Source organism: Homo sapiens, chromosome 20 (assembly GCF_000001405.40).
Source record: "Homo sapiens chromosome 20, GRCh38.p14 Primary Assembly".
Taxonomy (NCBI): domain Eukaryota; kingdom Metazoa; phylum Chordata; class Mammalia; order Primates; family Hominidae; genus Homo; species Homo sapiens.
The window spans coordinates 4,216,648-4,237,026 of record NC_000020.11 but is presented as its reverse complement, the minus strand read 5'-3'; the positions used below and the strand labels follow the sequence as shown (position 1 = coordinate 4,237,026).

At 51.1% G+C, this 20,379-nt stretch overlaps 1 protein-coding gene across 1 annotated transcript in view, besides 4 other annotated features; it reads left to right on the top strand.

Annotated features, from left to right (window-relative positions):
• The window catches only part of ADRA1D (adrenoceptor alpha 1D), a 28,658-nt gene extending 12,261 nt beyond the window's left edge, over positions 1–16,397 (top strand). Inside the window, exon 2 of the mRNA NM_000678.4 lies at positions 14,897–16,397. Coding sequence (NP_000669.1) covers positions 14,897–15,504 — 608 coding nt within the window. The 3' untranslated portion in view covers positions 15,505–16,397. The remainder of the gene's footprint in view (positions 1–14,896) is intronic.
• Positions 4,217–4,717: an enhancer, noted in NCBI's record as "H3K4me1 hESC enhancer chr20:4212957-4213457 (GRCh37/hg19 assembly coordinates)". NCBI's record gives its function as "activates a minimal SCP1, AML or CMV promoter by ChIP-STARR-seq in naive H9 embryonic stem cells {active_cell/tissue: H9 hESC(naive)}" and the evidence as "EXISTENCE:reporter gene assay evidence [ECO:0000049][PMID:30033119]".
• Positions 14,707–15,207: an enhancer, noted in NCBI's record as "H3K27ac hESC enhancer chr20:4202467-4202967 (GRCh37/hg19 assembly coordinates)". NCBI's record gives its function as "activates a minimal SCP1, AML or CMV promoter by ChIP-STARR-seq in naive H9 embryonic stem cells {active_cell/tissue: H9 hESC(naive)}" and the evidence as "EXISTENCE:reporter gene assay evidence [ECO:0000049][PMID:30033119]".
• Positions 15,506–15,615: an enhancer, noted in NCBI's record as "active region_17493". NCBI's record gives its function as "activates an Ori minimal core promoter by ATAC-STARR-seq in GM12878 lymphoblastoid cells {active_cell/tissue: GM12878}" and the evidence as "EXISTENCE:reporter gene assay evidence [ECO:0000049][PMID:35858748]".
• Positions 19,496–20,233: an enhancer, noted in NCBI's record as "H3K27ac-H3K4me1 hESC enhancer chr20:4197441-4198178 (GRCh37/hg19 assembly coordinates)". NCBI's record gives its function as "activates a minimal SCP1, AML or CMV promoter by ChIP-STARR-seq in primed H9 embryonic stem cells {active_cell/tissue: H9 hESC(primed)}" and the evidence as "EXISTENCE:reporter gene assay evidence [ECO:0000049][PMID:30033119]".

The following is a 20,379-nucleotide window of genomic DNA, read 5'->3' as shown; positions in this document are numbered from 1 at the left end:
CCTGTATTCATTTCCTGTTCCTGCTATAACAAATTACCATAAACTGAGTGACTTCAAAGAATATATTACCTCCCAGTTCTGAAGGCCAGAAGTCCTAACATCCAAGCCTCAGCAAGCCGCATTTCCTCTGGAGGCTCAGGGAGAATTCTCTCCCCGGCCCCTTCCACCTTCTAGAGGCCACTGGATGTCTTGGCTCATGGCCCTGCCTCCATCTATCCGCAGAATGGTCCGACTGCCGCTTCTGTTGCCACGTCTCCCTCTCTGGCTCTGAGCCTCCTGCCTCCCTCCTTCCTGTCTGAGGAGTCTTGTCATTACTTTGTGCCCACCTGGATTCTCCAGAGCAATCTGCCCATCTCAGGACCCCTGTGCAGGTGACATTCACAGGTCTGGACATCTTGGGGGCATTATTCCATCTACCACACTTCCACGCCCCAGCCACAGGGGCTCGGTCCTCTCCTAGGCCCACCTTTCTGCTTCTGCCCTCGAGCCTGCCACTTCCCCCAAATTCTTCATCTTGGCAAGTGGCATCTCTGTCTGTCCTCTGGAGTCCAAGCCAGGAACCTGAGCATCAGTCTCAGTTCCTCCTCATGCCCCACTCAGACACTCCAACCTCCCAAACATCCCTCAGTCTGTTCTGTTTTCCCATTCCCACTCTCCCACCTTAATTAACTAATTAATCACAAACCCATATATCCTGTGTGCCAGGTGCTGTTCAAATCATTTTATCCCCCTAACAGTCCTATGAGGTAGATGCTATTAGCAGCCCCATTTACAGAGGAGAAAACTGAGGCACCAGAGAGGTTGAGTAATATGACCAAAGTCCCCCCAGTTTATAAGTGTCAGAGCCGACATTGGAACCCAACGACTTTGGTCCCAGAGTCCATGTTATTTCTTGCCTGGGTCAGAGGTCGGCCTGGGGCCAGGGTTAAGGGCCATAGTTGGAAGCCATGTTTTCAGCTTTCCATCCCACCGAAGCCCTCAGCCCCTACACACATCCCCCAGGCTCACTTCCATGTCTTGGATACCGGCCAAGAGGGGATCTTGAGGACTGCCATGGGACATGGCCCCTTCCTGCATGGCTTGATCCTCTCCCAGACCCTGGCAGACCCCCAGAGTCCCTGAGGAAGTCTCTGAGTCCCTAAGCCCATCTCTGCCCCCGCCTGAGCCCAGGCCTGCCGTGCACCCCCCAGCCCCACCGTGCACCCTGAGCACGCTGGAGGGTAGGACTTCCCTCACTTTGCAAGTGGTCACCTAGGAGAACAGGGTCTTGAGTCTCTGAAAGCCAGTGTGGAGGCCAGTGGGCAAAGCCCAGGCGGCTCAGTGCTGGGACTCCCGGACAGCATGGTCACTGCCTGGGAACCTTCTCTCCCCGGGTATTAGTGCTGCTCTGCTCACACCCAGGAGCCATTTGTCAGTGTGGCCCCAGAGCCGAGAGGCTCATGCTTGGATCAGGGGCCAGCCTGGCCGTGGGGCAGAACTGCAGCCGTGGTCACTCAGAGCTTGGGGTGTGGCCATTCCAAGACCACAAATCAGGAAATAAGTGAGTTAAGAAGTGACAACAAAGAGGAGAAAGAAGGGGGAGGAAGAGGGAATGTGGGAAGAGAGAAGGGAGAAGAGGAGGGAAAAAAAGAGTCAAAGAGAAATGGGTGGGGCCTGGTGGAGACCTAGAGGATGCAAGAGGATGCGGGACAGGCCTATGGCTCATCTCCCTGAACTTGGGCTCCACCAGGCAGCCTCCGTTGCTCTAGGAGCTGCCCTCCCTTCACCTGCCCCTCAGCTACAGAAGGGAGTCTGGGGCCAGCCCCAGGTAGTTCAAGGATCCTGAAGCAAACACGAGGGCACAGAAGGACTTCTGACCTACACCCGGCGCATCTCAAGTGAAAGGACCCTGTCAGTTACCTCTCACCACAGAAAATTGGTGATGCAAGGAATGTGAGAGGCTCGGCTTGGTATAGCAGGCCCACGGTGCCCTCGACTCACCCCTTCGAGTCTTCACAATCCATTTGAGATCTGGACCATATCCAGGTCACCTCTTCCTGACAGGCTTCCATGACTGTGTCCCCTTCAAAATGGCCTTATCTCTTACCACTCTCCTCCTCCCCTTCTCCACTTTGGCGGTCCTAACTTCCCGGGTGTCTCTCCAACTTGTCAGGTACCCTGCTGCCTCAGGGCCTTTGCACATGCTCTTCCCTCTGCCTGGAATTTTCTTTCCTCAAATACATGCATGGCTCACTCCCTCACAGGGTCTTCAGGTCTTGGCTCAAGTGTACTGTATTAGAGAGGCTCGCTGACCCTTTATAATGTAGCGAAGAGGCCTGTGAGGGGCAGAGGTCCCAGCCTCTCCTGGGGAAGGCTGCTACTGAGCTCCAAGGTTAGGGCCGTTGCGTGAGCAGCTGAGCAAACTGGGGGAGAGGAAGGGAGTCTGGGGCTGGGAATTCCTTCTCTCCTAGCCCTGCTGGCAGGGTGGGAGGAGACTGAATATCTAGAAGGATGGGGTATTTTTACTCCTGTGTATCTCTGTGGACAGGGGAATGGCTTACTATGGATAGAAAAGTCCCAGTGGAGGACAGGGTAGGAAGATGGGGGAGGCTGGGGTGCAGCCTGATATTTCATGGTCATCTACAAGTTATGAGCAAGGCTGGCTGTGAATTCTGACAATCTGCCAAGAACAAGTTCCTTCTGGTGATGCCAAAAGAGTGCTATTAATCACACAGTCCGCCCCTTGACTTCAGCGCCGTCTGTCCTCAGCAAGGCTTGGCCAGTCAGTTGCTCAGCTCCAGCCATGTCCCTCCCTGCCTTAGCAGCGTCCCAGCAGCTCCTGCAGGCCTGGCCATTCCTGTTCCTTAGGAAAATGGACTGGCTTATGATAATCTGGGCTGTAAACAAACCCCCTGCTTCAGTTTCCCCAACAATATGTGGGCCAGGCTGGCCCAGCCAACAAGCCAGAGAGTGGCTTTTCTTGCTGACACAGGAGAGGCCTCACCTCTTCTGACCAGAGGATGCCCAGTCCCCCAAACGTTAGGTTAGACTCCTGACACGGGCACCCCAATACAGGGAATGGGGAAGGCAGGCTGGAGCAGCCCAGCCAGCTGGATGGCGACTCAGCACATGGGAGAACAAGAACAAGAAACAGAGAGGAGCGGGCAGGAGTTCTGTTTTTGGTCATCTCCTCCCTGCGTCCTTACTGGGTCTCCTCAGAGGTGGGTTCATGCAGCCACACTCACCCCCCCACCCCACTGCAAGCCTCCTGTTGAATGGGGAGAAATGAACACAAACGTGCACACTCAGGCCCCACCTTTCCCAGCAGGGGGCAGAAGAGTGATGATGGCCACTAAGGGCTAATCCCTGGTCCCAAGGTTTTGGGGACCACGAAAAGCACTTGAAGACGTGACACTGCACTGACAAAGAATGTCTTGGGTCGGGTTCCCTAGAAGCAGCGTTTGAGATAGGGGTTCTTCTTGAAGGATTTTTTTTTCTAACAGATCTCATGGTGCTAGGTGATCTGTTCTCTTGTTGAGACAGGGTCTCAAAAAAAAGGCAGGTACATGCAGCCACCATGCAAGTGGCTGCATGTACCCACCTCTGTTGCCCAGACTAGAGTGCAGTGATGCAATCATAGCTCATTGCAGCCTCAACCTCCCACGTTCAAGTGATCCTCCCACCTCAGTCTCCCAAGTAGCTGGGGCTACAGGTGTGCACCACCACACCTGGCTAATTTTTATATTTTTTATAGAGATGGAGTTTTACTATGTTACCCAGGCTAGTCTGGAACTCCTGGGCTCAAGAGATTCACCTACTTCGGCTTCCCAAAGTGCTGGGATTTATATGCGTGAGCCACCACACCCAGCCTGGATGATTTTTTTAAAAATAAATATTTTATTTTATTTTTTAGAGTCAGGGTTTCCCTAAATTGCCCAGGCTGGGTTTGAACTCCTGGGCTTAAGCAGTCCTCTCGCCTCAGCCTCCCAAGTAGCTAGGACGGCAGACATGCATCACTGTGCCCAGTTAGGAATTTTTTGAAAGAGGAATTTCAGGAGACACCTGTGAGGGAGGGCGGGAAGCCAGAGGGGAAGAGCTAAAGCCAGGGTGTGGTTGAGGCAAAGCTTGGCCTTAGCCCGACCCCACAGGGATCCCTGGGGCAAGAAAGGCAGAACTGGACTGTGCTGAGGCAAGGGGGCCGGCCTTCTCTATCACCACATCAGTCTGTCATTGGCTGCAGGCTGTCCCCTTGGGAAGCAGGTGTCATGGACCCAGTTGAAGCAGCTCCCATTGACTGAGGGCAGTTGTCCAGAGAAGGGGCAACAGCTAGCCTCTGACTGCCAACACAGCACCTGGGGACCCCTGGGCAGGGCACCAACATCATCTGACTTCAAGCCTGAAAGGGACTTTGTGAGCAAAGACTTGAAGGAGTTGAAAGAGATGGCCAAGCAGCTCTTTAGGGTTTCTCCCAGGAGTTTGGGGTCATTCTGATACTCTCTCCAGCTAGCAAGCCCCACCCCAGCCCTTCTGAGCAGTCTGGATGGATGGACGTGGAGCTGAACCTGATGTGGCATGCCCTGCAAGGCGCCCTTGAGGACATACAGGCCAGCAAATGCCACACGGCCTGGTGTAAGCAGAATGAAGCATGCTCCGAGCACGCACACTCCAGAAGCCGCTATCACCCCTCAAACCCCAGTGGAGCAGGCAATCACAGGAACACCCTTGGAGAAGGTTCTAGGCTGAGTTGAGGCTGAGCTCCAGGGGAAATGCCCCCTATGGAGAGAGGAGGAGGACTAGCCTCCTCGCCAGACCAGCCTTGTGAAAACCCAGAGGCTGCCGGGCGCAGTGGCGAATGCCTGTAATCCCAGCATTTTAGGAAGCCGAGGCGGGTGGATCACCTGAGGTCAGGAGTTTAAGACCAACCTGGCCAACATGGCGAAGCCCCGTCTCTACTAAAAATACAGAAAATTAGCCAGGCGTGGTTGTGGGCGCCTGTATTCCCAGCTACTTGGGAGGCTGAGGCAGGAGAATTGCTTGAACCTGGGAGGCAGAGGTTGCAGTGAGCCAGGATCACGCCATTGCACTCCAGCCTGGGCAAGAGAGCGATACTCTGTCTCAAAAAAAAGAAAAAAGAAAAAGAAAACCCAGAGGTGGGATGGGCTCACTGCTGGTGGGGCAGCTGCCAGGAAGAACAAAGGGAGTGGCTGTGCCTCCTGAACCCAGCGCCCCTAGAAGCCCAAGGGGAGTTCTGTTTCTCTGTTTAAGTGATGTCAGGAGAGGACCAGGAGCTTTGGGACTAGACCAACTCAGATGCATGTCCTGACCCTAAGGGCTACTTGCTCTCTGGGTAACTAGAATCATTCTGCAAAGCGGGATGCCATGAGGATTCATCGAGAACTACATAAAAGGCCCAGCATGGTGCCTAGAAGGTACTGAACACTCGGAAAGCGTCAGCTCCCTTTTCCTTCCTCTGCACATTAGAGGCCACCTATTCAAGTGCCATTTACTTGTTCATTCAAGATATTTCAGAGTCCCTGCTTCGTTCGAGTCAGGCACTTGTGCTAGAGGCTGGGATAAAAAGAAAAACATATTGGACAGTGCAAAAACATGCCTTTTAGAAAATTTCTCAGGCCAGACATGGTATCTTACTCCTGGAATCCCAGCACTTTGGGAGGCTGAGGCAGGAGGATCATTTGAGGCCAGGGGTTCAAGACCAGCCTAGGAAACAGAGCAAGACCCTGTCTTTACAAAAATAATAATAATAATAATAATAATAATAACAATTAGCCAGGTGTAGTGGCACATGCCTGTAGTCCCAACTAATTGGGAGGCTGAGGCAAGAGGCTCACTTGAGCCCAGGAGTTCGGTGAGCCATGATTGCACCACTGCACTCCAACCTGGGTGACAGCAAGACCCAGTCTCTAAAAACAGAAAGAGAGAAAGAAAGAAAGAAAAGAAAAGAAAAGAGAGAGAGAGAGAGAGAAAGAAAGAAAGAAAGAAAGAAAGAAAAAGAAAGAAAGAGAAAGAGAAAAGAAAGCAAAGAAGGAAAGAAAGAGTCCCATACCTGCCTTCAAGAAACCAAGAGTCACATAGAGTAGATGGAGCAATAGCAAATTGTATGAACCTGTAGTTGCACGGGAAAGGACAGCTGAGCCAGGCTGGGTGGGGAGACACCTGACCTGGGGCTGCAGGGACTGGGGGAGGAGGCTCCTGGGAGCAGCAAGTCCTGGCAGAAAGGCAGAAGAAGCCCAGCTATGTGGGAGGATCTGCTTGAGGCTTAACGTGGCTGAATTTGGAGGAAGGCAGGACAAAGACAGCACTGGCCCTAGAAACGTTGTGTTTCCTTGTGAGCAGCACCATGTTTCGATTGATTCCTCTGAGCCACAGGAAGCCACTGACAGTTTTCAGAAGGGAAAGGAGAGAAACCAAGTTTTAAGGAAAAGTCTCCCAGCAGCTGTGTGCAGAGTGGAGAGGATATGGGTTGAGGCCAGGGGCTGTGAGGCCAGGGGCTGTCAGGGGCTGCTGCCGCCACCTAAGCAAAATGAAATGACAGAGCAAGCCAAGGCTTAACAAACACAGTGAAGTGCAGGGGACCTGCTAAAAAGGACATCTACCGCACAGGACGTGGTGACCAGTTGGATGTGTAGGATACAGAGGAGGGATTCATTCAGCAAACTCAGCAAGTGTTATGCACCTGCTGTGTGCTTGATATGCCTGTGAGGTCTTCTTGGCAATGGGAATGCAGCACCAAGCAAAACAGACCCTGGCCCCACCCCAGGGATGTTCATTGCAGGGAGATAGATGATAGACAAATGCATCATGACTCAAATAGGACAGAAGGTGACAAGTACCATGAGGCATAACAGAGCAAGCTGAGCCAGACAGGGAGCACAGGGTTAGGGGATATTGCAATTGTGAATACGAAGTCAGTGTGATCTCATCACAAAGGTGAGGGTGTGAGCCACATGGATATTGGAGGAAGAAAATTCTGGGGAAAAAGTGCAAAGGGCCAAGGTGGGTGTGCATCTGGCATGTCCAAAAAGCAACAGGGAAGGCAATGTGGCTGGAACAGAGTAGGCGAGGGAAGGAGAGGAGAGGAGAGATTTGGGGGGACATGTTGAGCTGTGTAGGTCATAGGCTCTTGCTAGGAGGAGGCAGAGGAGCTGTTGGAGGGTTCTGAGCAGAGGAGTGACGTGACCAGTCTTTTCAGTCTTTCTAGCTGCCAGGGTGAGAAAAGATTCAGGGGGCAGGGGCACAAGCAGTGAGGGGGCTGCTGGATTCATCAAGGCAAGTGATGATGGTGTCTCAGACAGGGTGGGAGGGCGCATTGAGGGTGGGTGGTTGAGTTCCAACCTCGTCTCCTTCCTCTCTGCCCTCAATCACTGCATTCTGTCCACACCAACCTCGTCATCGTTCTACAAACATACCGGAGCCACCTCAGGGCCTTTGCACTTGCCGTTTCCTCTGCTGGAATGTTCCTCCCCAGATCTCCACACACCTCATTCACTCACTTCATTCAGCTCTTTACTCAAATGTCACATTCTCATCAGGACTTTCCTGGCCACCTTATCCAGAATTTATACCACCACCCCTAGCCACATATCACAAGCACACTCGCCCCCATCTTCCTTCCTGCTTCATTTTTTTCTCCTTAGTATACCTTTACTCTTTGATACCTTTACATTTTCCTTGTTTATCCTGTTTATTTCCTGTCTTCCCCAGTGAAATGTAAGCTTCATGAGGACAGGATAAGTGTGAGATCCACTAGACTCCCAAGTGGAGATGTCTAGGAGGCAGCTGGATCTATGAGTCTGGAATTAAGGAGAGAGGTCTGAGCTGTAAAGTCAATATTTAACACCATGAGCCTAGATGACACTGATAGGAGAATGCAAAGACAGGAAACTGCAAGACTAAATGAGGCGCTCCTACATTTAGCAGTGAGGATGTGAGGAAGGAGCAGCAAGGAAACTGACAAGGAGTAGGAAAAACCAAGAGACTGTCATCCGGGAAGCCACAGATGAGATGAGTGGCACCCAGGAGGATGAGGGCAGTGTCTACAGGTTGAGGGCCTGGGAGGGGTGGAACATGTGGGGCAAAGCAGCAGAGCAGAGTGAGGTCAGGTGGGGACAAGGAGACTGTAGGTGAGGGCTGGAGACGTGGAGAGAAGAAGGTGGTGGCCAGGGAGCCAGCAAAGGGGCAGCAGCTGTAACCAAGGCAGGCTTGTGGGTGGCTTAAGGATCGAGGGCTCCACCATACAAGTAGGGACACTAACCTTGGGTAGGAGGAGCGATCCCTTCCTTACCAAAGAAGATGAGAGGTGCAGAAGGCTGGGCGAGTGCCTAGTTTCTGTGGCCTCTGCTTTCCCTGTGAAACAGGAGGTAAGATCAACTGCTCTGGAGAAGAAGGGGCAGGCTGCAAGGCTTGGAAAGAGGGGTAAAGATTTGGTATAGGAAAGGTTACACTGTAGGTAACTATATGTTCCCTCTCTATTTCACCATTTAAGGCTAAACTCCTCACACCGTGCTTGGCACGTAGTAGGTGCCTCATACATTCTTGGACTCTTTGTATCACACCTTGCACCTCATCCATTACCAACTCCTTTAGGCTGCCAAATCCCCCCAACTTTGCACTACCTCCTTAATGCCACCTTGATCAACACTTCCATCATTGTCTACCTGCGATGCAGTAAAGAGCCGGTAAAGGAAAAGGGAGAGAGCTGGCAGAGGACAGGAGCCTAGATCACTGGAAATATGGGACATAGAGCTGAGGTCAAAGACCCCAAGCGTGTTCAAGGAGCGACTAAATTGCTCCAGAGTCAGGATCTGGCTGGATGAGTCTCCCTACATCCAGAAGGATGAGGGGGTTGGTGGAAAAGAGAACAGTTAAGGTGCTGGTGAGTAGGAGTCTCAGCTAAGCAGAGAAGGAGGAATCCAAGGAGCTGGCAGGAGGTCAAAGTACAGATAAGGAAGAGAGAGAAAAGACAGGAAGTTGCACTCAGTGGCTAATGGATTTTAAGTGAAGAAATGAAATGCTCAGGCTTATATTTTAAAAGGATCCCCAGCTGTGTACAGAGAGCAAGCTTCGGAGCCGGGGGCGGGCACAAGGCAGGAGCAGGAAGGCCGCTTAGAAAGGCACTGCAGGGGCCAGGAGCAGTGGCTCACGCCTGTAATCCCAGCACTTTGGGAGGCCAAGGCAGGCGGATCACCTGAGGTCAGGAGTTCAAGACCAGCCTGGCCAACATGGTGAAACCCCCATGTCAAAAAAAAAGAAAGAAAGAGAAGAAAGAGAGAGAGAGAAGAAGGAAGGAAGGAAGGAAGGAAGGAAGGAAGGAAGGAAGGAAGGAGGGAGGGAGGGAGGGAGAGAGGGAAGGAAGGAAGGAAGGAGGGAAGGAAGGAAAGAAAGGCACTGCAGGTAGACAACGATGGTAGCCTGGACCAAGGTAGTAACATGAAGGTGATACAAAGAAAGTCGAGGGGACTTAGGGGCCAACAGGAGTTGGTGATGGATGAGCTGCAAGGTGCGATACACAGAAAAGAGTCCAAGAATGTATCAGGTACCTACTAGATGCCAAGTGGTAGGAAGAGCTTAGCCTTTAAAGGTGAAATAGACAGGAAACTGATCGTTACCTATAGTGCTTTAGGCACTTAAAAGGGAGAGTGATGTGCTGCGGGTGGGAGGAGAGTAAAATAGCTCAGCTGGGTCAGGAGCGAGTGGTGTAAGAGAGACTTCAGAAGGAGATGCCACTGGAGCTAGCACTACCAGATATAGAGGAAGGGCATTCCAGGATAATCATGTGCAAGAGCCCAGAGGCAAGACTGGGGAGCCCCTTGTGGCCAGAGTGCAAAGTGAGTCAGCCTGGCCACTTGGCTGTTGCACATGAAGACAGAGGACTGCAGAGAGACATTGGAGCCACAAAAGAACAAGGCCTGTGAGCCAAGTGCCCATGCTCAGGGGTCTTGGGGCAGTTCCCCATTTCACACTCATGGTATGCCACGGAGAGGAAAATGCCCAGTTGTCTTTCTGACTTCCAGAGATCCCTGCATGAGGCTGTGGGCCCATGAGAGAATGCTGAGGGGTGCAGTCAAGAGAGTGGGCAAGTGCAGGGCGGTGTAGGTGGTGGATTGGAGCACTGTGGGCAGAGGCAGGTGTGAAATTCAAACCGGCATCTGTGAGCGGAACAGGAGAAGTCTCTTGAGAGCCGCTGCCTGCGGAATCTGGAGCCCAATGCACAGATTGTTTGTATTTCCAGGCAACATGTCTGCATGCAGTGGGCAGAGAACACATAAAACAAAGTTGTGGCAGATGCCACTGGTTCCCCACCCATCTCCCCCAGAGCTTTAGTGCATGAGGGCCAAATTCTGTTAGAGCACTTGCCTGCATTTCTTTGCCCAGGGACTTTCTCTGCACACTCATGTGGCAGAAAGGAAGTGTGGAAAATTAACACCCAGAGGGAGCAGCCCAAACAATGACTGATGGGAATGGGCGTATAAATACCCCACCTCCCTCACTCTACTGGTGTGAGAACACTGAGGTTTGTGCTCTTCATAGCCATCCAGAGCTCCCCCATTGCCCACAGTGATCCGTAACTTGATAACACACTTTATTGGCTTCCTTCTTTTCCCTGATTCTTCTTCCCACTCACTCAAGCTGTTTCATTTACCTCCCAAATTAAAAACTTGTATTTCTACTCTTGTCAGTCTGCTCTGGGAGAGCCCAAAGTAAGACAAAACCTCAACAGGATACAGTGGGAAAACCTTGGGGCTGAAAGGCTGAGTTTGTATTACAGCTCCTTCTCGTGTAAGGACTTCCCAGCTCACAGCAGACTTCAGGTTGGTTGAGCATAAATTACCATATTAATGTTTACAACATGACCTGGCCATACTACAATATGCCATGTTGCCCACCAGTCTGAATAAAAACCATGCAATAACAATGCCCTTTGGCCAGCTTCAGGCTCACCACTGAAAAGCATAGTCCACTGATTTGTCATCCTGGGCTAAATATAAAAGAATTGTAGCTTGAGTCAGAAGGCTATTTTCAGCACTCTGTCTTAGTTCGCGGCCATTGAGCGATGCTGTTCTTGAGGGCCACTTTCCTGGAGGCTGAGGTCAACACTAGTGGCCCCCACATTCCAGGGATGGCCCAACCTCTCTCCCGGGGAAAATAATCTCTTTCACACATCCTGACTAATGCGCCAGTGGCCCCTAAAACCCACTAGGTCTCAGCTGCTGTTTCTGGCCACTCTCCAGAGCTAGAAACTGGGTCCCTTCCCAGATGTGAGTTCTCTTCACTCAAAAGCCACAGAAATGGAGGTAAGTAATAGATACTAATAAACCAGGCACGGTGGCTCACACCTGTAATCCCAGCACTTTGGGAGGCTGAGGCAGGCGGATCACTTGAGGTCAGTAGTTCAAGACCAGCCTGGCCAACATGGCAAGACACTACTACAAATACAAAAAGTAGCCGAATATGATGGTGCACCCCTGTAGTCCCAGCTACTCAGGAGGCAAGGGGATCACTTGAGCCCAGGAGGTGGAGGTTGTAGTGAGCCAAGAGCGTGCCACTGAAGTCCAGCCTGGGTGATGGGAGAGAAACCCTGTCTCAAAAAAAAAAAAAAAAGAAAGAAAAAAAAAAGTAATAGCTACCAATACTTTTTAAGAGCCTGCTAAGTGCTGGGACCTAAAATATATGAATCTTCACAAAATTCCTTCTAGAAAAATAATATTAAAAGGAAAGTAAGACTTAGATGGGCCAGGCACGGTAGCTCACGCTTGTAATCCCAGCACTTTGGGAGGCTGAGGCAGGCAGATCACGAGGTCAGGAGTTGAGACCAGCCTGATCAACATGGTGAAACCCCGTCTCTACTAAAAATACAAAAATTAGCTGGGCATGGTGGTGCGTGCCTGTAGTCCCAGCTACTCAGGAGGCTGAGGCAGGAGAATTGCTTGAACCCAGGAGGAAGAGGTTGCAGTGAGCCGAGATCGCACCATTGCACTCCAGCCTGGGTGACAGAGCGAGACTCCATCTATTTAAAAAAAAAAAAAAAAAAAAAAACTTAGATGGCCACATAACCTGCTTAGGGCCACATGACCAAGGTTTGAGAAGCCTGTGCCATATGATGCTATGGGACCCTCCTCTTCCCCTGCGGTGTCTCTTAGCACCAGAAACTGTCTCTGTATGGTGGGAGGAGGGGTGATAAGCAAAGCCGATATTCCCCAGGTCAAAGAGAGGGGAATGGTGCCTCTGCCTCCTCAGTAGGGATCCCTGCTCTTTTTTTTTTGAAGGCAAGAGGAAGAGAGAGAAGGTCCCATAATTTGTTAAGGACCCCCCCCTACCCCTGGCCTGCTTGGTCTCACAGGCACCTGCAGCCTCTATCCAGGATGGAACACCCCTGGCCCGCTTGGTCTCACAGGCACCTGCAGCCTCTATCCAGGATGGAACACCCCTGGCCCGCTTGGTCTCACAGGCACCTGCAGCCTCTATCCAGGATGGAACACCCCTGGCCCCCTGCTTTCTTGCCCCTACTGCTGCTGAGGGTGAGTGAGGTTGAAAGAGTGGCCTCTGCTGCCTGGATTGTGCCTTTGCATTTGGTCATGTGCCTTTCTGGAAAAATGACCTTTTCTGGGTCCATGGTATGGATGTCAGGGGAGATGTTTGTGGAAAGGAGGGTCTTCCTGGCACAGCTCAGATCCTAGTGCCCCTGCCCCATCCTCCCTGGCACTCTCCTTTTTCAAAGCCATCCCAGAAGCCTTTCCTGACCACTTCCACTGGAACAGCCCCATTGCCCTGCATTTCAACAGCCCATGAGCAGTGTGTTTATGGAGGCTTAATTCCAGGCTCTATCTCTCACCTGCTTAAAAATATTCGCGGCCCCTAAGCATCCACAAAATAAAAGCTGAACTTCACAGCATGTAAGCCCCTTCACTATTTGTCCCAAAAGAGATTTTCTGAGTTTATCCTATAGGATATTCCCAGGACCCAAACTTGGTATTTTCTTGCCCGCCTGTCCTTCCCACCTGTAATACCCTCTGCCCTGCCTCATCCTGGCTGACCCCCCTAAGCTGTCTCTGAGCCTGTGGCTGCCACCCTACATGCACACACAGCTGCAGTGGGGAGCTACAGTGGGAATTATGTCCTGTTAAACCTGTTGTAAATTGAAAATATCATAGGTCAAAATGCATTTAATACATATAACCTACTGAACATCATAGCTTACCCTGGTCTACCTTAAACATGCTCAGAACACTTACATTCACCTACAGTTGGGTAAAATCATCTAGCACAAGGCCTATTTTATAATAAAGTGTTGCATATCTCATGTAATTTATTAACTACTATATTGAAAGTGAAAAACAGGATGGTTCTTTGGGTACTTGAAGTATGGTTTCTACTGAACGCGTATCACTTTTGCACCATTGTAAAGTCAAAAAATTAAGTCGAACCATCAAAGTCAGGGACTGTCTACACTGAGCACCACCATCATCACCCCACCTGCATCTCAAAGATATTTATTCACATTCTAGCTGGGAAATAAGGGCCATGTGTAATGCCTCCTCGTGTGTGTGAGCCCAGCACAGCACCTGGCAGGGAGCAAACCTTGGCCAACATTTAATTCGAGGGTCCTTACCCCTTTTTGTTACAGACTCCTTAGGCACCTGGGGAAGCGTATGGGTCCCTTCTCAGAGTCACGCTTTCAAAAGCATAAAACAAAATACAAAAGATTACAAATGAAACTGATTTTATTGGAAAAGCCATCAAAATATTTTTACAGGAAATGCGTGACTTGCTAATGAATATGCTTCTGCATTAAGGTATTACATAACAAGATCTAGTTCAATTGTTCTAGGACCATTTGCTGAAAAGACAAATGAAAAGACTACCCTTTCTCTATTGAATTATCTTTGTACCTTTATCAAAAATAAATTGACTCTGTGGGTCTAAAAAAAAAAAAACAAGATCTAGTGGTGCATTCTAATGACTGTCATTTCCCAAAAGTGAGGAGCATAGAGAATATTTCAAAACATCTGCAACAACTGAAAGTGATAGGAAAATATCCGTGGGGACGGCTAATGTTCGTTTGAATCATATTATCAATTAAAGAAAAAAAAGCTTTTAAAAAATTAACATTAGTTTTATTTAGAAGTCTTATTGAGGACTATAGACTAAGCCCTGTAGCCCAGCCCTTCAGAGAGGTTATATTAGACTGCTCCAGCACAGTAGTTTAATCTACTGTTTATATATAGGTAGCGCGGGTTCCATATGTACAAAATTTTATTGAACTTGCTCAGCAATTCTATTAAAGCAGAATTATATTGAGTTTTGGGTGTAAGAGTATATCTGTTCATAGCAGCATAATTACTAGCCTGGTCAGACGTTATCTTCTGTGTAGGAAGAGGCAAGGACTAGGGTCATTTATCATTTCAGGAAAACAGTGACTCAGACAGGAGATGTGGCAGGGAGGCGGGGGCGTATGTTCTATCCTATTTTATCTTCAAAGCATCTTTCCAGAGAGCCGTACTTTGTCACAGAGTCGGGGACTTTGTGAAATTATGCTGGCACGCAGAAATGAGCAAACATGGCTATGTTTGCTACTTTGTCTCATAATACGAAACTGCCAATATTGCACCGGTTTTGAGCTACAAAAACAGCAATTGCACGTGGTTTTGTCTAACTCTACTCTGGTTTGTTGCCTACATTCATTGAAGGTAATCCTCAATATCAGGTAGAGGTGAGTGAAAACAATTATTATTTTTCTCTATCCAAGTTCATGGACCTCCTGATTTACAGCACGGATCCCTTGAGAACTCCTAGTCAATGACTCAGCCAAGGCTACTGAAGGGTCTCCCCTTTGCGCCCAGAGCCGCCTGGCCTCCCCCTCCCCAAGCAGCTAAATAGTATCGGTCTCTGCTCCCTACAGGCTCCTTGTTCCCGCAGCTGAAGCCATCGGAGGGCGTCTTCAAGGTCATCTTCTGGCTCGGCTACTTCAACAGCTGCGTGAACCCGCTCATCTACCCCTGTTCCAGCCGCGAGTTCAAGCGCGCCTTCCTCCGTCTCCTGCGCTGCCAGTGCCGTCGTCGCCGGCGCCGCCGCCCTCTCTGGCGTGTCTACGGCCACCACTGGCGGGCCTCCACCAGCGGCCTGCGCCAGGACTGCGCCCCGAGTTCGGGCGACGCGCCCCCCGGAGCGCCGCTGGCCCTCACCGCGCTCCCCGACCCCGACCCCGAACCCCCAGGCACGCCCGAGATGCAGGCTCCGGTCGCCAGCCGTCGAAAGCCACCCAGCGCCTTCCGCGAGTGGAGGCTGCTGGGGCCGTTCCGGAGACCCACGACCCAGCTGCGCGCCAAAGTCTCCAGCCTGTCGCACAAGATCCGCGCCGGGGGCGCGCAGCGCGCAGAGGCAGCGTGCGCCCAGCGCTCAGAGGTGGAGGCTGTGTCCCTAGGCGTCCCACACGAGGTGGCCGAGGGCGCCACCTGCCAGGCCTACGAATTGGCCGACTACAGCAACCTACGGGAGACCGATATTTAAGGACCCCAGAGCTAGGCCGCGGAGTGTGCTGGGCTTGGGGGTAAGGGGGACCAGAGAGGCGGGCTGGTGTTCTAAGAGCCCCCGTGCAAATCGGAGACCCGGAAACTGATCAGGGCAGCTGCTCTGTGACATCCCTGAGGAACTGGGCAGAGCTTGAGGCTGGAGCCCTTGAAAGGTGAAAAGTAGTGGGGCCCCCTGCTGGACTCAGGTGCCCAGAACTCTTTTCTTAGAAGGGAGAGGCTGCGGGCTCCGTGGGGCCTTTTGCTCCCAATCCCTATTTGAGAAACACTGCCCCATCCTCCATGCCCTGAACCCTGAGTAGACAGCCCCAAGCATGGCCAGGAAGGCCTGCCCCTCCTCTTCTGGGAAATAGGCACAGAAGCTTTGGCCGGCTACCCCAGTGCCTCCCTTAGGGAAAAAGTCAGTGGGACCAGGGCTCCTCAGTGGACAAATTTCTCCTTCTTACTGCCAACTGGAGGAACCCAGTGGACCTACCACCACCCACAAGCTTTGGTGGCAGATTGTATAGCCGTCATACAAGCCTGCTGTATTTATCCATGGGCCCGCTGTCCGCCACCCAGGCTCCTCCGTGCACACCCCATCACCTGGCCCCTACCCCTTATTACTTCCCCTCAAGGGCCTTACTGTTTACACTCTGTACATAGCTCATCGTGCCTGTGCCCATCACTTCTTGCTGGGATTCCAAGCCACCAATTGGAGAGCTTTATTTGTCATTTTGAGACATATTTATTGGTAAGAGTACTTCTATTTTGTCCAAGCTGTGCAAACTGTCCCTCTTTAGCCCATAACCCATTAAAAAAAAAATACTTTTTCCCCTAAAGTCTGTCAAGAACTAAAGGCCCGCAACAGAATAGATTGGGTCTACATTTGCCTTTCTAGTTTCAACTTAACTGACTCTTTAACTGATGGCTGCTGTCTGTTGGGAGTTTTAGCATGACCAAAGGACCTGGGGGGGGGTTGTTAGGTTTTAAAACTCACATGATCGGTCTTGTGAACCAAATAGTGATCCTAAGCACAAATTGTCCCTTTGTCAGTCTCCCCAGATGCTTATGTAATGCTCTGAGGGCCTCAGTGAGGAAGGCGGCCATCAGGTAAATGGGTGAAACATAAGTTTACATGAAAAGATATACAAGCCCGAGTAGATAGCTGTACATGGCTAGGAAAAGAACCCATACCTAGGAACCATGCTTGTTAGCTTTGAGTAAAATGTCATATTCCTACTTGTCATATTCCCATGAGATTGCAAGCATTTCAGTCTTCAGCTGGATAGTATCAACCACATACTTCCAACCAGCATGGGGGTGATGTCTGCGGTCCAGTGGACCCTTGGGAGGACAGTGGGTTAGACAATACACTGGGGTGTCTGGGGGTGCTCTGAACTGGATGACCCAGCTGCTGGGGCCACATAGACCAGTATTTTGAGCCCAAAGTTTCCATTCTTTACTAGGCAGGTAGTCTATCTAAAAGGTCACCCACAATTTCAGGCATCTCACCCAAGTTTTACAGAGTTAAAAAGGCAGCCAGTATCAGGGCTTGGAGCAGACATTTCACACGGTGAGTCTACAGCAGGTTCTGGGCTTTCAGGCCTGGCCTCCCTGGAGGCACAGGAAGGAAAGTTTATGGGTGGGAGTATGTTGGGTGCTGACAGAATGTTGCATACTCCAAAGAGGGCTCCACTTTGCAGCACATTGGCTGCCCCAAAGCTGGGGACACCAGCGGACAGCCCTCACTGTCTTCTGGCAGAGGTAGGGGCCATCTGTCAAATCAGTGGTCAGTAAGGGGGCAGACCGCAGTGTCAAAGAATTGAACATTGGCGTCTGGGACAGGACCTGTTTCAACAGCAGCCTTGGGTTTGCAGAGGGTCTCTAAGCAGAGTGAAAGTTGTTCCTGTTACCAGAAAAGGGGTCCCTATCGAGACCCCAAGAGAGGGTTCTTGGGTCTTGCGCAAGAAAGAATTCAGGGCAAGTCCATACAGTAAAGTGAAGGCAAGTTTATTACGAAAGTAAAGGAATAGGCTGGGCACAGTGGCTCATACCTGTAATCCCAGCACTTTGAGAGGCCGAGGCGGGTGAATCACCTGAGGTCAGGAGTTCGAGACCAGCCTAGCCAACGTGGTGAAACCCCATCTCTACTAAAAATATAAAAAATTAGCCGGGTGTGGTGGCAGGTGCCTGTGATCCCAGCTACTCAGGAGGCTGAGGCAGAAGAATCGCTTGAACCCGGGAGGCAGAGGTTGCAGTGAGCCAAGATCATGCCATTGCACTCCAGCCTGGGCAACTCCATCTCAAAAAAAAAAAAAAAAAAAAGTAAAGGAATAAAAGTGGCTACTCCATAGGCAGAGCAGAAGCATGGGCTGCTCAGCTGCTCATACTTATTTTTACTTCTTGATTATATGCTAAACAAGTGGTGGACTATTCATGAGTTTTCCAGGAAAGAGGTGGGTAATTCCCAGAACTGATGGTTCCTCCCCTTTATAGACCGTATAGGGTAACTTCCTTGGGTTGCCATGGCATTTATAAACTGTCATGGTGCTGGTGGGAGTGTATTTTAACCGGCTAATACCTTATAATTAGCATGTAATGAGCAGTGAGGACAATCAGAGGTCACTTTCTTCCCCATCGTGGTTTTGGTAAGTTTTGGTCGGATTCTTTCCTGCAACCTGTTTTATCAGCAAGGTCTTTATGGCTTGTATTTTGTGTCGACCTCCTGTCTCATCCTGTGACTAAGAATGCCTGATCTCCTGGGAATGCAGCCCAGTAGGTCTCAGCCTCATTTTACCCAGCCCCTATTTAAGATGGAGTCACTCTGGTTCCAGTACCTCTGACAGTCCCACATGCCAGGGCAGCTGATCCCACAGAAAGTCAACAGTGGGGACAAAAGGGGAGGGTGGGAAGGGAGCCTTCATCAGGAGGATTTGTGGGCCTCCCTGCCCCGGTTAACCCAGTGGGAGTGGAGGCAGGAAGGCCAGTGGCTTGCCCTATACTTGCTCTAGGCATGGTAATCAATCTGGAAAATATGTCTGATGTTTGAGCCTCAGCCTGTCTCTGGGACACAGGGGCCCCCTGCACACAGCTACCTCCTCCTCCGGTATCCCTGCACCAGGTTGTGAGCCTACAGGAGGTGCAGGAGGGCTTCAGAGCCCCTAGATAGATCATGCCACAGCAAGGGCATCCAGGTACCTTGTTCTAATCATCAGTAAAGCACTGTGCTGCTGACCTTGGTTCTGGGACATGGCAAAGGGTCATAGAATGGCCAAGAGGATGGGAGAAAACAGCAACAGACCTTCTGGAGGAGGCAGCCTCTTGCTAGTGATTTGGAGACCATCTGAAAGAAGTGCATTCACTGTACCATTTCCTGGGTCCTCAGGTGCTCAGATCCCCAGCCCAGCCCACACATCTGATTAGAGAGACTGTCCCTGAGATGCATGTAAAAAAAAAAAAAAAAAATGGGGCCATTGTCTCCAGCGAGTAGGAATTTCTTTACATGATCCTCAAGGGATGGGGTGAGGCCTGAGGGAGTTTGTGAATGAGAAAGGGATGGTCCTGTGAGATGTGACAGGGACAGAAGCAAGCCTCCGAGGACACTAGCATTCACCCAAGTGCCCACTCCCCATCCTTAAAGAGCTTCATTCCTGCTTCCCACTCAAGGACCCCATCTCCAGTCTGCCCTCCCTCTCCAGCTGGGCTCTCACTGCCCACCTTGCTTTCTTCCCACACTCTTCCCGGGACCTCTGTCCCCAGCATCCCCAGGGCTGCTTTTGCAAGTCACCTGGGACCTTCCATTTCCCTGGTCTCCTCCCCGCCTTCTCTGCTCCAGTCCACACTGGTGGCCACTCCCTGATTCCTGGAATGTTCCCTCCCTGCCTCTGAGCCGCGCCTCTGGGATCTCTTCTGACCTGCTGACCCTACTCTCTCTCTGCCTCCTCCACAGCCTTCTCTCTCCACTCTTAAATGCTCCCTAGGGTTTTATTCCTCTTTTTCTCAACTCTTCACACAGTTTTATCCACTCCATGTCATCTCAATGACCACTTGTACAGAAATGACTCCCAAGAGGCTGTCTCTAGCTCCAGATGTTAGTGTTCACCCTTCCAGATGTTAGTGTTCACACCCCAAATACAAGCCCCAAGGCCACTCGCCTACTGCAGTATCTCCTATCTCCTCTACTCTCTTTGGGCATGATGACGCCCCTGACCCTGCTGGCCCTCTCCACTCCCTGTCTTCCAGAGTCTTCATCTTCCTCCTGCCATACACAGATCCTTTGCCAAGCCCTGCACTTTTTGCAGCCTCCCTCATAGCTCACACCCAGTCATCCTGGGTTACGATAGAATCTGCACCTGCATCCACCACAGGGGAGAGGGCTCTGTCCCCAGGGCTGCTTGGGGCTGGGCTTAAGTGTTTACTAAATACTGGATCTTGGGAGTTGGCCCACTGACCCTTCTCTGGGACACAGCCCTGCTGCCGTCTGGCAGCTGGCTCACCATCACCAACCTTGCAAGGCCCTCACCCCCGCTGGTCCCACCAGTCCTCTGGGGGCTAGAGGCTGCAAGGAACCAGCTGCGCCCTCCATGGCGCCCTCCAGGTCACCTAACCCTCCCATCTGGAGCCCCACCCTGCCCCCAAAGGCTCCTGACTGTCATGCTGCAAGCCAGCCCCTTAATCCCTCCTCCAACGGGTGCCAACAGGTCCTGGAGAAAGTTTTGGGACCTCAGTCACCCTCCCTCAGTGACCTGTCAGAGCTTTAACTCCTCAGAGCACCCCTCACCCTGTTTCTATTCCCATCCTACTACACCCCCAGGGGTTGCATGTTCACCGTCCACTTGGAAAAACTTTCCTTTTTTTTTTTTTTTTTTTTTTG